Below are 20,215 nucleotides of genomic sequence, written 5' to 3' on the forward strand. Positions count from 1 at the left end.
CTTTTCCATAATTTTTATTGTAAAATTACAAAAGGACAAACTATATTAAATATTTTGTCATAGCACTACAGACCTCTGAGATATTAACAAGCACTTCTGTGACTTTGAGAAAATGTCAAAGAAAAGGACAGTAAAAAATATGAGCAAATCTTTCTGCACCCCTAATTAATTGCTCCAAATGCAGACTGGATCAACTACAAACCACCACAACATTGTGGTTTGCAGCCTTTCTGCTCTATCCTTTTCCCTTTTTCCACAGAAAGAAAAATTGCAGAATGGTGATGTGGGTAAAACAGGCAGCCTCTATCCCCGGTGACTTTAGAAAGTGGGGCTAGAGAGGTTGGAAGGAAAAAAAAAAAGAGTAGCTTGGGAAATAGGTGCCTGCTAATGCTTCCACGCCTCTCCTCAATTCTCCTTTTCCTTTTGAAAATGGAAAAAAGTAGTAATGCACTCTGAGGGACAGTACTCCTTAACCTGTATGTTTTCATTTCCTTTTTGTGAAAGGTTTCTTAGTTAATAATTACTCTTATTATTAAAACTGTACTTCTATAGTATTTATTAAGTACATAGCAGAGAGGTCGGGTACAGTGGCTCAGACCTGTAATCCCAGTACTCTGGGAGGCCGAGGCGAGCAGACCACCTGAGGTCAGGAGCTTGAGACCAGCCTGGCCACTTGGGAGGCTGAGGAGAGTTGCTTGAACCTGGGAGGCGGAGGTTGCAGTGAGCCAAGATTGTGCCACTGCACTCCAGCCTGGGTAACAGAGTAAGTGAGACTGTGTCTCAAAAAATTTTTTTAAAAAATAGTTTTGACTTCATGGACCATCTCTACTAAAAATACAAACATTAGCCAGGTGTGGTGGGGGGCACCTGTAATCCCAGCTACTCGGGAGCCTGAGGCAGGAGAGTCACTTGAACCCAGGAGCGGGAGGTTGCAGTGAGCCGGGGTAGCGCTATTGCACTCCAGCCTGGGCAACAAGAGTATAACTCTGTCTCAAAAAAAACAGAGACAAGGTATCATTATGTTGCTGGTCTCAAACTCCTGGCCTCAAGCAATCCTACCTCAGCCCCCAAAGTGATGAGATTACAGGTACAAGCCACCATGCCTGTCCAGAAGTTGCCTTTCTTTTTGCATTTGATGTAATGACTAGTTTTGAAAAGTATCTTTCCATCTTCTGCCTGAAGTCAAATTTATTCACATTGACTTCCAGTCAGGTGTTACACCATCTCAGGCATGGGGGCTCTTTGAGATTTAGAGGAAACGGAGGCTGGTGGATAATGCCAACAATTTCAGTGACCCTGAATACCATGGCATATGACATTTAGAATATATTACACAGACGTCCTTTGAACTCCACCCTTCTTCTTTGGGTAGCATTGGGATATCAAGGGCAGAACTCCATAGTCAGCACTAAATTAAGTCTGGGGTCAGTTACGTAATTCTTTACATTACCATTATTTATTTTTATTTTTTATTTTATTTTATTTTTTGAGACAGAGTCTTGCTGTGTTGCCCAGGCTGGAGTGCAGCAGCGCCATCTTGGCTCACTGCGACCTCAGGAGATTCTCCTGCCTCAGCCTTCAGAATAGCTGGGACTACAGGAGCACACCACCATGCCTGGTTAATTTTTTGTATTTTTAGTAGAGGCAGGGTTTTGCCATGTTGGCCAGGCTGGTCTCAAACTCCTGACCTCAGGTGATCTGCCTGCCTTGGCCTCCCAAAGTGCTGGGATTACAGGCGTGAGCCACCGCACCTAGCCACCATTATCATTTTTTAAATGCCCTGTTATGTTTTTATTTGGAATAGAGTCAGCTAATTCCTTTTATTCTACCAAGTCTCAGCAGGGAATAGATACTTCCCATTGACTTCATCTGAATATTGCTAATGCTTTTGTAGGATTCTGTATGTCTTCTGTAATGGTGAAACTCCATTGCCCATTTTTAAATTAATTTAGTGTTTTTTTTTTCGGGGGGGGACAGGATCTTGCTCTGTCACCCAGGCTGGAATGCTATGGCACAATCATAGCTCACTGCAACCTCCAACTCCTGAGCTCAAGTGATCCTCCCTCCTCAGTCTTCCAAAGTGCTGGGATTCCAGGCATGAGCCACCAGGCCCAGCCTGATTTAATATTTTTATTCAGCATGATATTTATCTGTTGTTTATATATGTTCTGTCGTATTACTCCTTAAACTCTAAGTTGAAGAGATTGAGATTATGTGATCCTCCATGTATAACTGGGTACTTTTTAAAAATTAAACTAAAAAGACCTGTTGGAGAATGTAGCTTTTCAAGATTTTCTTTTTTATTTTGAAAGGAGTTTCGCTCTTGTTGCCCAGGCTGGAGTGCAATGGCATGATCTTGGCTCACCACAACCTCCGCCTCCCGGGTTCAAGCGATTCTCCTGCCTCAGCCTCCCGAGTAGCTGGGATTACAGGCAGGTGCCACCATGCCCAGCTAAGTTTGTATTTTTAGTAGAAAGCGGGTTTCTCCATGTTGGTCAGGCTGGTCTCAAACTCCTGACCTCAGGTGATCTGCCCGCCTTGGCCTCTCAAGTGCTGAGATTACTGATGTGAGCCACCACGCCAGGAGGTTTTCAAGATTTTCAATGATGAAAGGAAGATAACTTGTTGGAGTGGTAATAGATTAAGAGGCAGCAATATTTCCAGACATTGGTGCTCTGGAAAAAGGCTGAAAGTTCACTTTTGATGTTATTTCATTGTTCACAGATAAGCAATCCTATGGTTAACTCTGTGCTAGTTCCTGGTCCTTTTCTCTCTTTAGCAAGGAAGGTGAAATGGTTGTTGGATTTTGGTTTAGACGCATAAACTAGTGGCACAGCCTATTTCTCCTCCAACCTTCCCCCTGTTTTGATCACGTGTGGTGCTGCTGAAAAGTAAATTACTTCTGAGCTTTAAAAATTTTTAATGTTTGTATTGTACTGGTGGGGAGTCTTAGGAGCCTGGCCAAAAACTTGGTGTTTCAGGAACATTTCAGTTGACAGACTTTGTTGATTTTCTTCTATTTCTTCATCTTTTAATTGGGTATTTTATATACATATGCAACTTGTAATTGGGTATTGTACATTTTGAGTATAAACTTTTTGTAAAAAAGAAACCTAACAATTTAAATTCATGGCATTTTGTTTTTATTACTTATATCAGAAAAGTTGCCAAAATAGGACCCTGGCTTTTTCTTCAAATCATAGGAATCTCTAATAAAGCTTTGACAAACCCAGCCACTCTGATGGAAATCATCGCATACTACGCACTGCCACCAGGAATCACATCAGAAGTCTTCTTTGCTGTGTAAAAGTAGCTCAGGGGCACCAAAATCTTCTGCAGAGCTTTAGTGTGTGTCTGGGAAACTTGAGATAGAGTTGTGGATTCCCATGCATCATCTCCTCCCTGCTCATGAGTGGGCACGCTGGGTGTTGGCGCCCTTTCCTGATGAACACTGATGCATCCTCAGGGTTCTTCTCAACCAGTCCTCCAGGGACTCTCTCCAGGGAGTTAATCAGAGTTGGCATTCCAGATAAATTTTAAATTCGATCCCTCTCTTTGATAGAAGGGGGGCCTAAGATATTCTCAAAATTACCTGTCTTGAAATGAGATTTATCCAAGGTGAGGCTGTACAGTAAGAGTGCGGGCTTTGTCATCACATGACTAGATACTGAGTCCTGGCTCTATCCCTTAATAGTTGAATGGTAGTGAACTGGTCACTTCGTTTCTTCAAGTTTTGGTTTTTTGTTTTGTTTTTTAATCTGTGAAATGGAAAGAGGTCATACCTTTTTCAGAATACTGAGGATTAAATACAACAATTTTTGTAAAGTGCTTAGTAGACTATCTAGCCCAATAGTTCTCAGATTGTTAGTATTAGAACCCATTTATACTGTTAAAGATTATTGGCCAGGCGCAATGGCTCACACCTGTAATCCCAGCACTTTGGGAGGCTGAGGCGGGTGGATCACGAGGTCAGGAGTTCAAGACGAGCCTGGCCAAGATGGTGAAACCCCGTCTCTACTAAAAATACAATAATTAGCCAGGCACGCCGGGCGCGGTGGCTCACACCTGTAATCCCAGCACTTTGGAAGGCCGAGGTGGGCGGATCACAAGGTCAGGTGATCGAGACCATCCTGGCTAACACAGTGAAACACCGTCTCTACTAAAAATACAAAAAATTAGCCAGGTGCAGTGGCGGGCGCCTGTAGCCGCAGCTACTCGGGAGGCTGAGGCAGGAGAATGGCGTGAACCTGGGAGGCAGAGCTTGCAGTGAGCCGAGATAGTGCCACTGAACTCCAGCCTGGACGACAGAGCGAGACTCCGTCTCAAAAATAATAATAATAATTAGCCGGGCACAGTGGCAGGCGCCTGTAATCCCAGCTACTCGGGAGGCTGAGGCAGGAGAATTGCTTGAACCCAGGTGGCAGAGATTGCAGTGAGCCGAGATTGCGCCACTGCACTCCAGCCTGGGCGACAGAGTGAGACTGCATCTCAAAAAAAGAAAAAAAAAAAAAAGATTATTGAGGACCCCATAGCATTTTTGTTTATTAAAAATTAAAACTGAAAAATTTTATGAATATGTATTACTTTTAGAAATTATAATAAAACCCCACTGTATATGAACATAGATAGCATATTTTATGAAAAATAATTGTATTTTCCAAAGACAAGTTAGTGAGTAGCTTATGTGCTTCTGCATTCAACCTGTTGCAATATCACACATCCTGCAGATTCTGGAAAATTCCATGTACACATATGAGTGAATCAGAGTCAAAAAGACAAATAATATCCTAGTAGTAGTTTGATGATGTGCCCAGGAATGGACAGCTGACCCATTTCTAGCCAGAGATTCAAGGAAAAGTTTGCTGGGAAGAGGCATTCCGTTCCAAATAAAGAGACCAAGGTTTCTAAAAAGAAGGTCTTTTGCCCTTTTGATTATTTGGAATGTAGACATGATGCTTTGGTTTGTCACAGCTGTTTGGGGACAAGATCGAGAGTAAAAGTCAACACATTCAGGGTGATGGAGCAGAATGACAGGAAGAGCTCTGTTCTTGAGAGCACTGTTGAACAGCTGAACCAGCTCCTACAAGCCTTACCTACCAGCTTTGAACAAAAAAAAATTTTGTTTAAATAGTTTCAGATAGTTTTGGCTGAGTGTGGTGGCTCATGCCTATAATCCCAGCACTTTGGGAAGCCCAGGCAGGTGGATCACTTGAGGTCAGGAGTTTGAGACCAGCCTGGCCAACATGGGGAAACTGCGTCTCTACTAAAAATACGAAAATTAGCCTGGTATGGTGCTGTGTGCCTGTAGTCCCAGCTACTTGGGAGGCTGAGGAGAGTTGCTTGAACCTGGGAGGCGGAGGTTGCACTGAGCCAAGATTGTGCCACTGCACTCCAGCCTGGGTAACAGAGTAAGTGAGACTGTGTCTCAAAAAAATTTTTAAAAAAATAGTTTTGACTTTGTGGACCATCAGAAGGGTAGGGTCTTGGCCCCACCTCCACCCCCAAGACCCTTTGAGTATCATTAGCCATTAATTAGCACCCAATAAATTGTAGTTATTATTGTTATACATGGAATTTTTTTTTTTTTTTTTGAGACAGAGTTTTGCTCTTGTCGCCCAGGCTGGAGTGCAGTGGCGCAATCTCGGCTTACTGCAACCTCCGCCTCCCGGATTCAAGTGATTCTCCTGCCTCAGCCTCCTGAGTAGCTGGGACTACAGGCACATGCCACCATGCCTGGCTAATTTTTGTATTTTAGTAGAGACGGGGTTTCACCATGTTAGCCAGGCTGGTCGCAATCTCCTGACCTCATGTCACCTGCCCCAGCCTCCCAAAGTGCCGGGTTTACAGGCATGAGCCACTATGCCCACCCTATACATGGAAATTTTTATAACCAGCAAGTACTATAGTACTATATAAATATTAGTGATGAGAAGTAAAGGTCATGACTTCAAAGTTTTTTGCCATATACTTAATTGAAGGGTCCCAAATAAGATTGTACTTCAGATGAAGCAAAAGAAATAACAGTGTTTTTCAAATACTAGTAATACATAAATGAATTATTCAAGTTGAAAACGCTCGTCTTGCTTTCAGAAATTTAATTAAATATATAACCATAAAACTTTCATTTTTTTTCCAGAAGAGAGCCTTTTTCCCCCATCTAGAGTAATAGATCTTTGTAAAGAGAAAATTCATTACTTACTCTGAAACCACTGATAGAGTTTCTAGGGAGTTATAGTAGCCTCCTATAAAGGTGATATGGCCACATTGTTAACCAGGTTGGGATTCATGACTGACAGGTCAGTCTTGATTTACTGGTTGGAGAGCCTTGACTTAAGCATTTATTACTGTTATAGATACAAAATCCCTCAAAGGGGCTTTTTGAGTTGGGTTTGGGCTGTGAAGACAAAAAGCACACGTGACATGATAACAAGTAACTTACACAAGCTGTCTTAAGATCTCTGGGTAGTTCATATATTTCACATCTTAACAAGATATATGGACATAGTTTAAATTAGCTCTACCTGTACTTTGAGACATAGAACCTCTAATTATATCAATTTTATCCTTTCTTCTTTTTCTTGGGGATGGGTAGGTGTAGATCATGGGGAATTCATATGCTGGGCAACTGAAATCTGCTCGATTTGAGGAAGCTCTCCACAACTCCATAGAAGCCTCCCTCAGATGTAGTAGTGTGGTACCACGGCCAATTTTTTCCCAGCTATACCTGGACCCTGACCAGCATCCTTTCTCATCTGCAGGTAAGTTTCTCAATCACACACATTTCTGGATTCTTTTTTTTTGTTTTGTTTTTTTGAGATGGAGTCTCCGTCTGTTGCCCAGGCTGGAGTGCAGTGGCGTGATCTCGGCTCACTGCAACGTCTGCCTCCTGGGTTCAAGCAATTCTCCTGCCTCAGCCTCCTGAGTAGCTGGGATTACAGGTGCACGCCACCACTCCTGGCTAATTTTTTTTGTATTTTTATTAAAGACAGGATTTCACCATGTTGGTCAGGCTGGTCTTGAACTCCTGACCTCGTGATCCGCCCGCCTCCGCCTCCCAAAGTGCTGGGATTACAGGCATGAGCCACTGCACCCGGCCACTGGACTCCTTTTTTAAAAAGTGGGATTCTTGTTTTAGAAGTGGGGATTCCAAATCTTGGGACCTCTGAGATAAATTGGCTAAATGTTAGAAAATGCTAGACCTTTTTTCTTCAATTATGTCTTTCAGAACTGTGCATTTTTCCATAAGCATCTTTTTATTAAATCTGCTGTGATTTATTTGCTTACCCAGATGTCAAACCCAAGGTGGAGGATCTGGACAAAGATTTGGTAAACCGCTACACTCAAAATGGAAGTCTGGATTTTTCTAACAATCTAACAGTTAATGAAATGGAAGATGATGAAGACGATGAAGAAATGTCTGATTCAAACAGCCCACCAATTCCCTATTCACAAAAACCTGCCCCAGAAGGATCTTGCACTACAGATGGTGGGTTTCAGTTGTGTTTTCTTTTTGCTATTTTGTCTCTAATATTGTCTGACATATTTCTAATTATTACATGAGGTGCTCAAGGCTGGAAACTAGTAATTATCGTATGGAGAGGAATGAGAAATGATTATGCTCTCATTCACATTATCTCCTGTGACTTCACAACAGATGTCTGTAAGAAAGACAAGTATTATCATCCCATCTTAACAGATAAAGAGACTGAAATTCACAGTTGTTGACTTCCCTGAGATGGTCTGTTTAGAATTGCAGAGGCAATTCTAAACCCAGGTCAAGGCTTTTCCAGTATTCCAAGTACTTTCTGCAAGAATGCTACTATTTTAGGACTTTTTTAGTATTCCCTCTTCGTACTTCTTTCTATTCCCCCCCGCCCCCGGCCCTGCAAACAATCAGAGAGATATTAGAGATTTCATATTTACCGTTTACATTTATTTTGAACACTCATCCGATATAGAGGATTAAAATATTTTATACATATTATAAATGTAAAAATTTATAGAGGATTAAAATGTGTATATTTTGTTAATCCCTTTTTATTTATTAGGGTCAACCTCCTCTTCCACCAAGGCTTCACACTTTACAAGAAAATCCTAGTATAAAGCATTTCCAGTATTTCATGGTTTTGGTGATATCATAACTTAAATTACACTCTCTTCCCTCCATTTAATAGTTTACTGTGCTATTTTCTGACCATCCCAGCCTAATTAGTTCATGAATAATACTTTGTCCCGATTAGCCAGAGTATTGTTCTTATACCCAGAATGACTTGGACCTAGGATGATTTCAGTGCATGAAAATTTTGGAGTGGGGGAAATGGGAGAAGAAGAAAAGGGATATAATTTCAGAACATTCCTCTTACAAAGCTTAAAGTGCAAAGAATTAGAGAAAAACTAGAGGTTCAAATATGGAAAGTCAGAAAGCCCTGCTTGGGAGTTTTATTTTCTCTTGACTTTTTTTTTTTTTTGGACAATGTGATAAACCGTAAAGGAGTCAAAATCCCCTACCTAGGAGATGAGGAAACCTGAATAATTCTGGTAGCTTCTTAAGTGCCCAATTCACTAAAGGTGGCCTCTAGCAATTAGTACTACTGCTCTTTGATTCGGCCCTGCCTGTAGCGCATTATTCCTTATGAATTTGTTTATGATTGCTCAAACTTAATATAATATATATGGATTTATTCATTATTGACATAATACAGGCCTTTAAGCCTGTGGAGGTGTAGGAGGTGACTAGCATTATGTTTCTTCTTACTTGCTTTACGTCCATCTTCATGCCTTTTATTTAATTGAGCTGTCAACTCATTTATCAGGTAACAAAATGGAAGGTGAAATAGTGCTTAAAACGTTGTTGGATTCCCATTGAGAATCTTGTTATGTGTGAGAGTTACATAGAGTAAAAGCTTTAGAGGATAATTTTCAAATATCTAATTTTATACCAAAACATGGGAGAGAGGTTTCCATTCTTCCTGTGCCCTAGGTATGTTTTTAGTTTGCCTTACAGGGTATCTGACACTGGTGTTTTTTATAAGCAGGTATGGAGAGCTGTTTAGTACCCACCAAGGTATAATAAACTTAGTGATCTAGAGATAGCCAGTATTTCTTAAACTTTAAAACATGAGAATATGAGAGTGTATGGGAAGGGTAATATCATTTTAAAGATAAAGGAGGTGCAGTTTTTTTAACTGTCTCACTCAAGTTCAAGATTTATATTCCAAAACAATTCAAAAACACTAGTCCTACACTTAGATTCCTGTATCAGCTACTTTTGGTTCTTATAATTAATGTCCATTTTTTTCCCGTTTTAATTCACCTTGGGGGAAGGCATTTAAAACACAAAGTTTATAATTAATTTGGTAGTTTATAGTTTGTAGATACCTTTTTTTTTATTTGAGACGGAGTCTCACTGTGTTGCCCAGGCTGGAGTGCAGTGGCGCGACCTCAGCTCACTGCAGCCTCCACCTCCCGGGTTCAAGCAGTTCTCTGCCTCAGCCTCACAAGTAGCTGGGATAACAGGTGCCCGCCACCACGCCTGGCTAATTTTTGTATTTTTAGTAGAGATGGGGTTTCACCATCTTGACCAGGCTGGTCTTGAACTCCTGACCTCATGATCCACCCTCCTCGGCTCCCAAAGTGCTGGGATTATAGGCGTGAGCCACTGTGCCTGGCCAGTAGCTTTTTTTTTTTTTTTTTTTGAGTCCTCAGCCTCCTGAGTAGCTGGGACTACAGGCGCCCGCTAACATGCCTGGCTTCTTTTTTATGTATTTTTAGTAGAGACAGGATTCCACCGTGTTAGCCAGGATGGTCTAGATCTCCTGACTTCGTGATCCGCCTGCCTCGGCCTCCCAAAGTGCTAGGATTACAGGCGTGAGCCACCACGCCCAGCCAGTAGCTCTTTCAATTGAACTCATTCTAAGATAGTTTTAAGAGCCTTCTTACTCAAAGGGAGAACAGTTCTGAAATTTTCCTTATGAAAATGGCAGTGAAATAGGGCAATATACTGCCTGAACCTAAATAAGCATACCACCTTCCCTTCATGGGAAATCCTCTATTTACTTAAGGCTCAAAGAAAGGTAAAGCTATTTTTAGAGGCAATTTAGATAAGCAAATACTTAACACCTGATGGGCTGCTGGGGTTTACCATTCAGATGTAAATTTTGGTTGCTAATTTCTTATGTAAATTATCGGAGTAGTGTAGGTTCCTACCCTGCTGGGAGGCAGTTGATTGTCCAGAGGGGTAAAGGACAACCAAATTTTAGGCCTCCAAATACTGCTTTGATTACTCTAGTTTGTGTTTATAGCTGGTTCTGTAAAGTTTTCCCTGCCCTCTTTTAGTTTACTCTGTAACCTTCAAGTTGGAGATAATTGGAGAATGCTAATCTGTTTCTGTGAAGTGAAATCTTTGGCTGTTTTCTTAAGGAAATGCAGATGAAGTTTATAAAGAAGACCTGTCTACTATTATTCCTTTTTAAAAAAATTAAAATCATTTGCTCTGGTTTTAGAGCAACATTTCAGTGTTATCTTCAGAAAATGAAATTATTTCAGGGGCAGATTTGTCAAAAAAATTATTTGTATGCCTGTTATCACTAACTTACGTTTCTTTGCTTGTAGAGTATGAACAGGCTTAGATCCTCCCTTAGGATACTCTTAACCAGATCTTCTCGTAGCCTCTAAAAGAAAGATCACATCAGTCCTTCAGAATTATTTAGATGTAATTCAGAATTACCCTGTTGGGGAGTCCTAAGGTTTTGTTTTGTTTTTTCATTTAGTTCAAGGTTTTAACTGAGATTTAATATTTGATGTTTATTAGACTATTAATCAGACATATTTCTAGTAGTGGGAAAATAGAACTACCTATCACACTGGATATTGGGATCCTATGTCTTGAGATAGAATGTTTCATAGATTTTGTTTTTAGCTATCCACTCTTTTTTACAGACATACACAGCTTATTTTCCATCTGAAAAAACTAAATTAAATATTGCTGTTTGCATAATGTTTTTACTCTCGTAGGGATCCCTCATGATATATTTTGTATATCATTAGCTGATCTGAATCCCAGCAATGAGGATTTGGAGGAAATAGTAAATAGATACATACTTTACAGAAATAGACCAGACCCTTGGCAGGCGAACTTATTCTTAGAATAACTACAAACTGAATTCATAAACTTTTGCTTGACTTAATGAGCATTTTTGGCATGGAGTTGATTTCTTCTGGACCCTGTTCCTAGACACAGCCCTGCTGTGCCTTTCTTTCCTATTCTCTTCTTAATTAAATTGCCTGTGTGGCTTGTATTGGCAAATAGCTACATGGTAAAAGATAAAATAGAACTATTTTATTTTATTTTTGAAGAACAGCTTTAAATTTGTGAAAATTAAGAAAATAGTACAGTTTCCATATATCCCCACACAGTTTGCCCTATTATTAATATCTTAGTATAGGACATTTGCTACAAGTAATGAACCAATATTGATACATTTTTATTAATTTTAATAACAACTAAAGTCCACAGTTTATTTGAGTTCCTTGGTTTTTTCCTAATATCCTTTTCCTGTTCCAGTATCCCATCCAGGATACGGCATCAGATTTAATTGTTATGTCTCCTTAGGTTCCTTTTTTTTTTTTTTTTTTTTTTTTTTGAGACTGAATCTTGCTCTATCGCCCAGGCTGGAGTGCAGTGGTGGTGCGATCTCGGCTCACTGCAAGCTCCGCCTCCCGGGTTCACACCATTCTCCTGCCTCAGCCTCCCGAGTAGCTGGGACTACAGGCTCCCATCACCACGCCCCGCTAATTTTTTGTATTTTTAGTAGAGATGGGGTTTCACCGGTTCCTTTTGACTGTGACAGTTTCTCAGACTTTCCTTGTTTTTGATGACCTTGGCCGTTTGGGGAGTATTAGGCATATTGTAGGAGACCCCCCTATTGGAATTCATTTGATGTTTTTCTCCTTATTAGATTGAGGTTATGGGATCTGGGGAGGAAGATCACAGAGGTAAATTTTTATCTTATTCTTTCAAGGGTACATACTATCAACATGATTTAACACTATTGCTGTTGACCTTGGTCACCTGGCTGAGGGGCTGAAGGAGTGTTATCCCCACTCTCCTTCCACTACATACTGTGGAAGGAATCCCCAGATCACACTGAAGGAGCAGGGAGTTATACTCCACATCCTTGAGGGCAGGCTACGTAAATTATTTGAAATTCTACTGCCTGGGAATTCATCTCTTCTCTCCCATTTATTGATGGGTTCATTCGTTTATTTATGTCATTATGGCCATAAATACCTACATTTATTTTATGTTTATAATCCAATACTAATTTATTTTGTTGCTCAAATTGTTCAGTTTTGGACATTGGGATCTCAGTTGGTTCTCGTGCCACTTTTACAAACCCCCATCATTATGGGGTGGGTTTTTTTTTTTTTTTTTTCATCAAATAGGAATTTTCTCTTTTCACGGGCACAGGAACCTCTTGACTTTTTTTTTTTTAAGGGAAGGAGGTTAGGCACACACCTCTCATAGAATACAGTAATTGTTTAATAATTATTGCTTTTCTCCTCTAGGTGTCCTCATAAATGGGAAAACCCTCAAAGATTGTAATACTAAAAACTATTTGTGTGGATTGTGTAGTTTTCATTTTGCCACAGAAATTGCTCTGAAATAATCTCTCTTCCCTAGAAAATCCTGCTTTCTTCAGGCCTTCTCAACACTAACTGTGCCTTCTCTACTCTATACCTCTTTAGCCCAGAAACAAAATTGTAACTTTTCCCTCTTAGTCTCCCTTTTGCAATGTATTGCTTGAGAAAGCTCAGCAGAAATGTCAGTCTGTGAGCATGAATTACTTTTGCGGCTTGCCAAAACTTGAATTTTAAGGACTCATTAACAAGTATGAAATAGGTGAATGCCGACACAGTCAATGGCTGGCAGGGGCTGGTGTATCAAATGATGCTCAGAAATCAATCTGAAAAGGCCACAGGGAAGTCAAGTGATAGGACCCAACAAAAATAGGCAAGGATGAAGTTATAGGAGAGCTCTCCATCAGACTAGAGGAAGGTGAAACAGTATACAGTCATGTGCCAAATAACACCATTTCGGTCAATGACTGACTGCATATATGACATTGGTCCTGTAGGTTCCAAAACTGAAAAATGTCTGTTGCCTGATGACACTGTAGCCATTGTAAAGTAGTGCAATGCATTACTCATGTGTTTGTGGTGATGCTGATGTAAAGAAACCTACTGCACTGCCAGTCATATAAAAGTATAGCACATACAATTAGGTACACCACATGATACTAGGTAATAAATGTTATTTTTTATTACCTAGTTATTTTATTATCTATGTTATTTCAGAGTGCACTCCTTCTACTTATTAAAAAAAAAAAGTTTACTGTAAAACAGCCTCAGGCAGGTCCTTTAGGAGGTATTCCAGAAGATGGCATTATTATCATAGGAGATGACCCTCCAAGCATGTTTTTGCCCTGAAGACCTTCCAGTAGGACAAGATATGGAGGTGGAAGAGTGATATTGATGATTCTGACCCTGTGTAGGCCTAGGCTAATGTGTGTGTTTGTGCCTTAGTTTTTAACAAAAAAGTTTGTTTGTTTGTTTGTTTTTGTTTTTGTTTTTGTTTTTGAGATGGAGTCTCGCGCTGTCACCAGGTTGGAGTGCAATGGCGCAATCTCGGCTCACTGCAACCTCCGCCTCCTGGGTTAAAGTGATTCTCCTGCCTCCACCTCCTGAGTAGCTGGGACTACAGGCGCCCACCACCATGCCCAGCTAATTTTTGTATTTTTAGTAGAGATGGGGTTTCACCATATTGGCCAGGATGGTCTCAATCTCTTGACCTTGTGATCCACCCGCCTTGGCCTCCCAAAGTGCTGGGATTACAGGCGTGAGCCACCGCGCCAGGCCAACAAAAAAAGTTTAAAAAGTAAAAAACAAAACAAAACAAAAATTTTAATACAAAAAAGCCTTATAGAATAAGGATATAAGAAAGAAAACGTTTTTATACAGCTATACAAAGTGTTTGTGTTTTAAGTTTTATTATGAATCAGAAGGTTTTTAAAAGTTAAAAAGGTGATAAAGTTAAAAAGTTACAGTAAGCTAAGGTTAATTTATTATTGAAGAAAAAAACATTTTAGTAAATTTAGTGTAGCCTAAGGGTACAGCATTTACAAAGTGTACAGTAATGTCCTAGGCCTTCACATTCACTCATTACTCACTCACTGACTCACCCAGAGCAACTTCCAGTCCTGCAAGCTCTGTTTTAAGTGACTTATACAGGTGTGTCATTTTTTATCTTTTATATCGTATTTTCACTGTGCCTTTTCTGTGTTTACATATGTTTAGATACACAAATACTTAACCATTGTGTTACAACTGCCTATAGTATTCAGTACAATAGAATGCTATCCAGGTTTGTAGCCTAGGGGCATTAGGCTATACCATCTAGCCTACATGTGTGGTAGGCTGTATCATCTGGGTGTGTGAAAGTACACTCTATGATGTTCACACAACAAAATCGCCTCTTAGAATGCATCCATGTGGTTAAGTGATAAATGACTGTATATGAGTCAGAGAGGTGTTAATGAGGTCAAAGGAGCAGTTAATTAGGAGTTAAGAGACCTGGGTTCTGGATCTACTGTTTCTGGTGGTTGAGTATTTGGCCTTGGGCCACTTTCTTAGTCTCTTGGGGCCCTTCTTTCATTTACATATTAAAGAGGTTAGAACAGATCTGTGTTCCTCAATCGTTGACTCACAAATGTCTCTTATAATAGTGTGTAATCTTTTGAATTCAGAGATTTAAAAATTAATTCTGTCATTACATGGCATGTGATAAGGACTTGATTTTAAATAGAAAGTAATTTTAGATTGGTTTGTTTGTTTATTTATTTATTTATTTTGAGACAGAGTTTCACTCTTGTTGCCCAGGCTGGAGTGCAGTGGTGCAATCTCGGCTCACTGCAACCTCTGCCTCCTAGGTTCAAGCAATTCTCCTGCCTCAGCCTCCCGAGTGCCTGGGACTACAGGTCCATGCCACCACCCCCAGCTAATGTTTGTATTTTTAGTAGAGACAAGATTTCGCCATGTTGGCCAGGCTGGACTCGAACTCCTGACCTCAGGTGATCCACCCGCCTCAGCCTCCCAAAGTGTTGGGATTACAGGCGTGAGCCATTGCACCTGGCCTACTTAGATCAGTTTATTCATATACTGTTTGATATTCATGCTGTACAAGAAAGATTATCTACAGGGTTAGTACCAGTCTTGAGTGTTGAGTGCATTGAATAAGGTAATCTATATAGTATTTAGCACTGTGCCTGGCTATGGCAAGTGCTCCATAAGTTTTAGCTGCCATCATCATCATCATCAATTCCCAACTTTCAAACCTGTGAGCCCTGTTCCTTAATAGAGGTGGGTGGACACAGCAGATTTTTTTTTTCCAATGGGTTCCATGTATCCATAGGCTCCAAAAAATATTTGTAAACGAAGTAATATGACCGACATATTTAATGACTATTTTCCAAATAAATATAAATGATATTTTGAACAAATGCAGATGCACTTAAAATTGCTAAAGAATTCATAAGTTTTTATATTTTTTCTTAATTCATGAACTTCTAGAGTTAAATTGACTTTTAGAGTTTAAATTGACTTTTATTAATGTTAAAAAGGGATCTATAAGCTTGAAATGATTGAGCCCTGCAGTCTTGATAATTTTATTCTTTCTTCTGTTGACTTTTCCCAATTCTATTAGGCTTGTTTTTGAGGTTTGGTGACCCAAACTATATGGTAAATTTAATATGCCCCACCGCTTCATCCATTTTTTTAAATTTAAATTTTAATTTTTTTTCTTTAAAAAAAAAATTTAGACAGGGTCTTGTTCTGTCACCCAGGCTGGAGTACAATGGCACAATCCTGGCTCACTGCAACCTCTGCCTCCCTAGCTCAAGGGATGCTCCCATCTTAACCTCCTAGGTAGCTGGGACTACAAGCACTCACCACCAGGCCCGACTAATTTTTGTATTTTTTTGTAGAGATGGGGTTTCGCCCTGTTGCCTAGACTGGTCTTGAACTCCTGGACCCAAGCGATCTGCCTCTTTGGCCTCCCAAAGTGCTGGGATTACAGGCGTGAGCCACTGCACCTCGCCTCATCCAATGTTTTCATGGTGTTTTCTTTTTTATTTCTCATGCCAGTAACTGATAGCATTCAATTATCTGTTGACACTTGGTTAAAATCATAACATGAATTGATGCTAGGAGAATCTAGCATGGTTTTTCCCTACTTTGTATTGGGCAATGATAATGGTGCTCTCCTCGGGTTTGTGTAGGGAGAGGTAGGCATCCTCCTTGCTTCCAAAATTTTCTGAAATAGCGTTTTTTTCCCTGTTCTTGAGAGCAAGTCTCACGCTGTTGCCCAGGCTGGAGTGCAGTGGTGCGATCTTGGCTCACTGCAACCTCTGCCTCCCTGGTTCAAGTGATTCCCCTGCCTCAGCCTCCCAAGTAGCTGGGATTACATGCATGTGCCACCATGCCTAGCTAATTTGTTGTTGTTGTTGTTTGTTTGTTTTTTGAGACAGAGCCTCGCTCTGTTGCCCAGGCTGGAGTGCAGTGGCGCGATCTGGGCTCACTGCAAGCTCCGCCTCTACAGGTGCCTGCCACCATGTCCGGCTAATTTTTTTGTATCTTTAGTAGAGACGGGGTTTCACCATGTTAGCCAAGATGGTCTCGATCTCCTGACCTCATGATCCGCCCGCTTCTGCCTTCCAAAGTGCTGAGATTACAGGTGCGGGTCACCGCGCCCGGCCTTTTTTTGTATTTTTAATAGAGAAGGGTTTCACCATGTTGGCAAGGCTGGACTTGAACCGCAACCTTAAGTGATCCACCCACCTCGGCCTCCGAAAGTGCTGGGATTACAGGTGTGAGCCACTGCGCCCGGCCTGAAATAGCATTTATCATACTTTTATTCAGCCTTTCTCGGTTGCAAATGACAGAAACCCAACTGAAAATGGCTTAGGTAAAATGAAGAAATTACTGAAAGAATTCCAAAGAAAAGGTTTCATGGCCAGACCTTGGGAAAGGCAGATACAGCGGGCTGAGGGATCCAGATACTGCCAGAACAGTCTTTCAGCCTCCTGCCTGTGCTGACGGAGTTCCCTCCCAAGTCAAGAGACAGGGCTGGCACTAAGCAGTCTGAGCCATGCTCTCCTTGGCTCCATGTTCAGATTTTCTAGGGGAAAGGCTTTGATGGGCCTTGTTTATGTCATATGTCCACCCTTGGACCAATCAACTATGGCCAGAAAGTTGGGCTATCAAAGTGGCCCAGTTGGATCAGGTCCTAGCTCCACATCAATTTGGAGTGTCACAACTCCCTGGGGAAGTCATATGATTACAGTGAGTACAGACGGAATCATTCCCCAGAAGATTTGCAGCAGAACTGTAGCTGTTCCCTATAACACTGTCTGTGATTCTTGGTTCCTTATACATTCTTCCAAATGACTGCAATGTGAGTTCTTGGAGGAAGTTATATTTGGTTCAATTCTGTATCTCCTGGTCTTGGACAGCATCTGTTGCAAATGTTTGTTTAATAAACAATGAACAGATGAATTCATATAATACATTATGATATACAAAGTGGTTATGTAAGATTTTGTCACATCTTGTCATGTCATGTCATGGTAAAAAGTGAAATGCTGTAACAGTTTTGGCCCGTTCATCTAGGAGTCACCAAATTCTGAGCTTCAGTCTTTTCCTCTGTGAAAATAAAGAGTATCTCTATTCTGACACTGTACCCATCTAGAGAAGTGAATTTGGATTGGAAGTAAAATAATCGTATTACATGCACATAAAAACTACGTGGTTTTCAAAGTTTGTTGTGTATTCACCATTGCCCCACTTGTTGACCAGACTCACGCCTGTAATCCCAGCACTTTGTGAGGCCAAGGTGGGTGGATCACGAGGTCAGGAGTTCGAAACCAGCCTGGCCAACATGGGGAAGCTCCATCTCTACTAAAAAAAAAAAAAAAAAAAAAAATTAGCCGGGTGTGGTGGCGCACACGCCTGTAATCTCAGCTACTCGGGAGGCTGAGGCAGGAGAATCACTTGAACCTGGGAGGTGGAGGTTGCAGTAAGCCAAGATCCCACCATTGCACTCCAGCCTGGGCGACAGGGCGAGACTCCATCTCAAAAAAAAAAAAAAAAAGAAAAAAAAAAGAAAAAATATGAAGTTGTCGCTTTGGCTGAAGCGAAGCAGACGGAAATATTTCCTTTCAATGTCTTTTCAGCTTTGTTCAGAGGGCCACACTTGGCAGATTTGTCTTCTGGTTGGAGTATAGGGGTATAGGGACTTTAATTTAGTCTGTAATAGTGATTCTCAAAAATAAATCTACTCTCCAAATGAGTGATAAGAAGATATAATCTCACTAAACATTTCACTGTGTCCTTTTTTTTAAACTGGTTTTTAGGTTTTTGTCAAGCAGGAAAGGATTTGCGTTTGGTATCACTGTGTATGGAACAAATTGACATCCCAGCAGGATTCCTCCTGGTGGGGGCCAAGTCTCCCAATCTGCCTGAACACATCCTAGTTTGTGCTGTGGACAAGCGATTTCTACCAGATGATCATGGAAAAAATGCACTTTTAGGTGAGTGTTTCATGCTTATAAAATTCCTTCCAATATGAGGGAGTTAAAATACACATTTATTTAAAACTACTGCAGAATTTTAAAAAATATACCAGAGGATTATTTGGGGATTATATAGTTTAGTTCAATTATGAGACATTTTTTCTTTTAGTAACTTCTTTTTTTTTTTTCTTTTTTTCTTTTTTTGAGATGAAGTCTTGCTCCATCGCCCAGGCTGGAGTGCAATGGTGCAGTCTAGGCTCACTGCAACCTCTGCCTCCCAGGTTCAAGTGATTCTCCTGCCTCAGCCTCCCGAGTAGCTGGGACTACAGGTGCATGCCACCACACCCAGCTAATTTTTGTGTTTTTAGTAGAGACAGGGCTTCACCATATTGGCCGGAGTGGTCTTAAACCCCTGACCTCGTGATCTGCCCACCTCGGACACCCAAAGTGATGGGATTACAGGCGGTAACTTCTTAAACATTTATTTATTTTCTTTCTTTTTTTTTTTTCTTTTTTTTGAGACAGAGTTTTGCTCTTGTCACCCAGGCTGGAGTGCAGTGGCATGATCTCGGCTCACTGCAACCTCTGCCTCCTGGGTTCAAGCAATCCTCCTGCCTCAGCCTCCCGAGTAGCTGGGATTACAGGCGCCCACCATCACGCCCAGCTACTCTTTGTATTTTTAGTAAAGACAGGGTTTCACCATGTTGGCCAGGCTGGTCTCAAACTCCTGACCTCAGATGATCTGCCTGCCTTGGCCTCCCAAAGTGCTGGAATTACAGGCATGAGCCACCACGCCCGGCCTTTTCATTTTTATTAATTCTCAAAACACTTAGCTTAATTAAATGACTTTTTTGACCAGACATTTTTAAAAAGCATGCAATTTATCAAAAATTAATATTTTATAAAGAAAAGAGAATTCACTCTCTATAGTCATTGATATCAAGTCAGCTCTGATATTGGACCTGATATCAAGTCAACTCAATTATTTATCTGTGGATTATTCACTTTGTAAGTTATTTGTTGTTTTTCCATACCACTCATTCCAATGTCATATAGATAGATATTTCTATCTATACTTGTGTGATGTGATTCTCACTTTATATTTAACATTAGTTCACCCAAAATAACTAGGACTATGTATCTTTATATTTCTATCTATATGATATAAAATGTAAATGACTTTATCTAGAATTATTTTACTTTCTGATATTAGAGTCTGGGCTTTTTCACAACATAGCTTCCCTATATCACAAGAAATAACAGACTTGATTTATTTTATTTTAAATAATTAAAAAGATAAGAGAGCACATGAGATTTGTTGCTTTTCTACTGCTGCCATTTCTCTACTGTTGTTTTTGTTTCTCAGAATTTGTCTTACTATAGATGAAATCATGTTTCAGGCACAAATATCAGTAAAAAGGAAAAAGAATAGAGCAATGAATTCAAATATTGTATTGATCATGATGTGTATTTATTTTTGTAGTTTGATACATTCTTCCTAGTTATATAGTGTCATCAGAAAGTCTAGCAATACACTGATCAATAAGTGAGCCTGCACACGCTTTATAGAAGTTCCTTAAATTATAGCT

General features: G+C 40.4%; 1 protein-coding gene and 1 long non-coding RNA gene across 30 annotated transcripts in view, besides 2 other annotated features; one reads left to right on the plus strand and one right to left on the minus strand.

Annotated features, from left to right (window-relative positions):
• GREB1L (GREB1 like retinoic acid receptor coactivator) overlaps nucleotides 1-20,215 on the plus strand; it is a 283,881-nt gene that overhangs the window by 134,686 nt on the left and 128,980 nt on the right. For all 29 annotated transcript variants that reach the window (XM_006722547.4, XM_011526179.4, NM_001410867.1 and 26 more), the window contains 3 exons: nucleotides 6,593-6,758; nucleotides 7,289-7,486; nucleotides 18,468-18,644. In XM_006722547.4, coding sequence (XP_006722610.1) covers nucleotides 6,602-6,758; nucleotides 7,289-7,486; nucleotides 18,468-18,644 — 532 coding nt within the window. In that variant the 5' untranslated portion in view covers nucleotides 6,593-6,601. The remainder of the gene's footprint in view (nucleotides 1-6,592; nucleotides 6,759-7,288; nucleotides 7,487-18,467; nucleotides 18,645-20,215) is intronic.
• GREB1L-AS1 (GREB1L antisense RNA 1) overlaps nucleotides 3,127-20,215 on the minus strand; it is a 71,004-nt gene continuing 53,915 nt past the window's right edge. Inside the window, exons 3-4 of the long non-coding RNA NR_187982.1 lie at nucleotides 10,596-10,670; nucleotides 3,127-3,758 (exon numbers count right to left, since the gene is read on the minus strand). This is a non-coding gene — a long non-coding RNA (GREB1L antisense RNA 1). The remainder of the gene's footprint in view (nucleotides 3,759-10,595; nucleotides 10,671-20,215) is intronic.
• Nucleotides 9,839-10,639: an enhancer, noted in NCBI's record as "OCT4-NANOG-H3K27ac hESC enhancer chr18:18966717-18967517 (GRCh37/hg19 assembly coordinates)". NCBI's record gives its function as "activates a minimal SCP1, AML or CMV promoter by ChIP-STARR-seq in naive and primed H9 embryonic stem cells {active_cell/tissue: H9 hESC(naive and primed)}" and the evidence as "EXISTENCE:reporter gene assay evidence [ECO:0000049][PMID:30033119]".
• Nucleotides 14,078-14,930: an enhancer, noted in NCBI's record as "NANOG hESC enhancer chr18:18970956-18971808 (GRCh37/hg19 assembly coordinates)". NCBI's record gives its function as "activates a minimal SCP1, AML or CMV promoter by ChIP-STARR-seq in naive and primed H9 embryonic stem cells {active_cell/tissue: H9 hESC(naive and primed)}" and the evidence as "EXISTENCE:reporter gene assay evidence [ECO:0000049][PMID:30033119]".

The sequence above is a fragment of the Homo sapiens genome, chromosome 18, assembly GCF_000001405.40.
Source record: "Homo sapiens chromosome 18, GRCh38.p14 Primary Assembly".
NCBI lineage: Eukaryota > Metazoa > Chordata > Mammalia > Primates > Hominidae > Homo > Homo sapiens.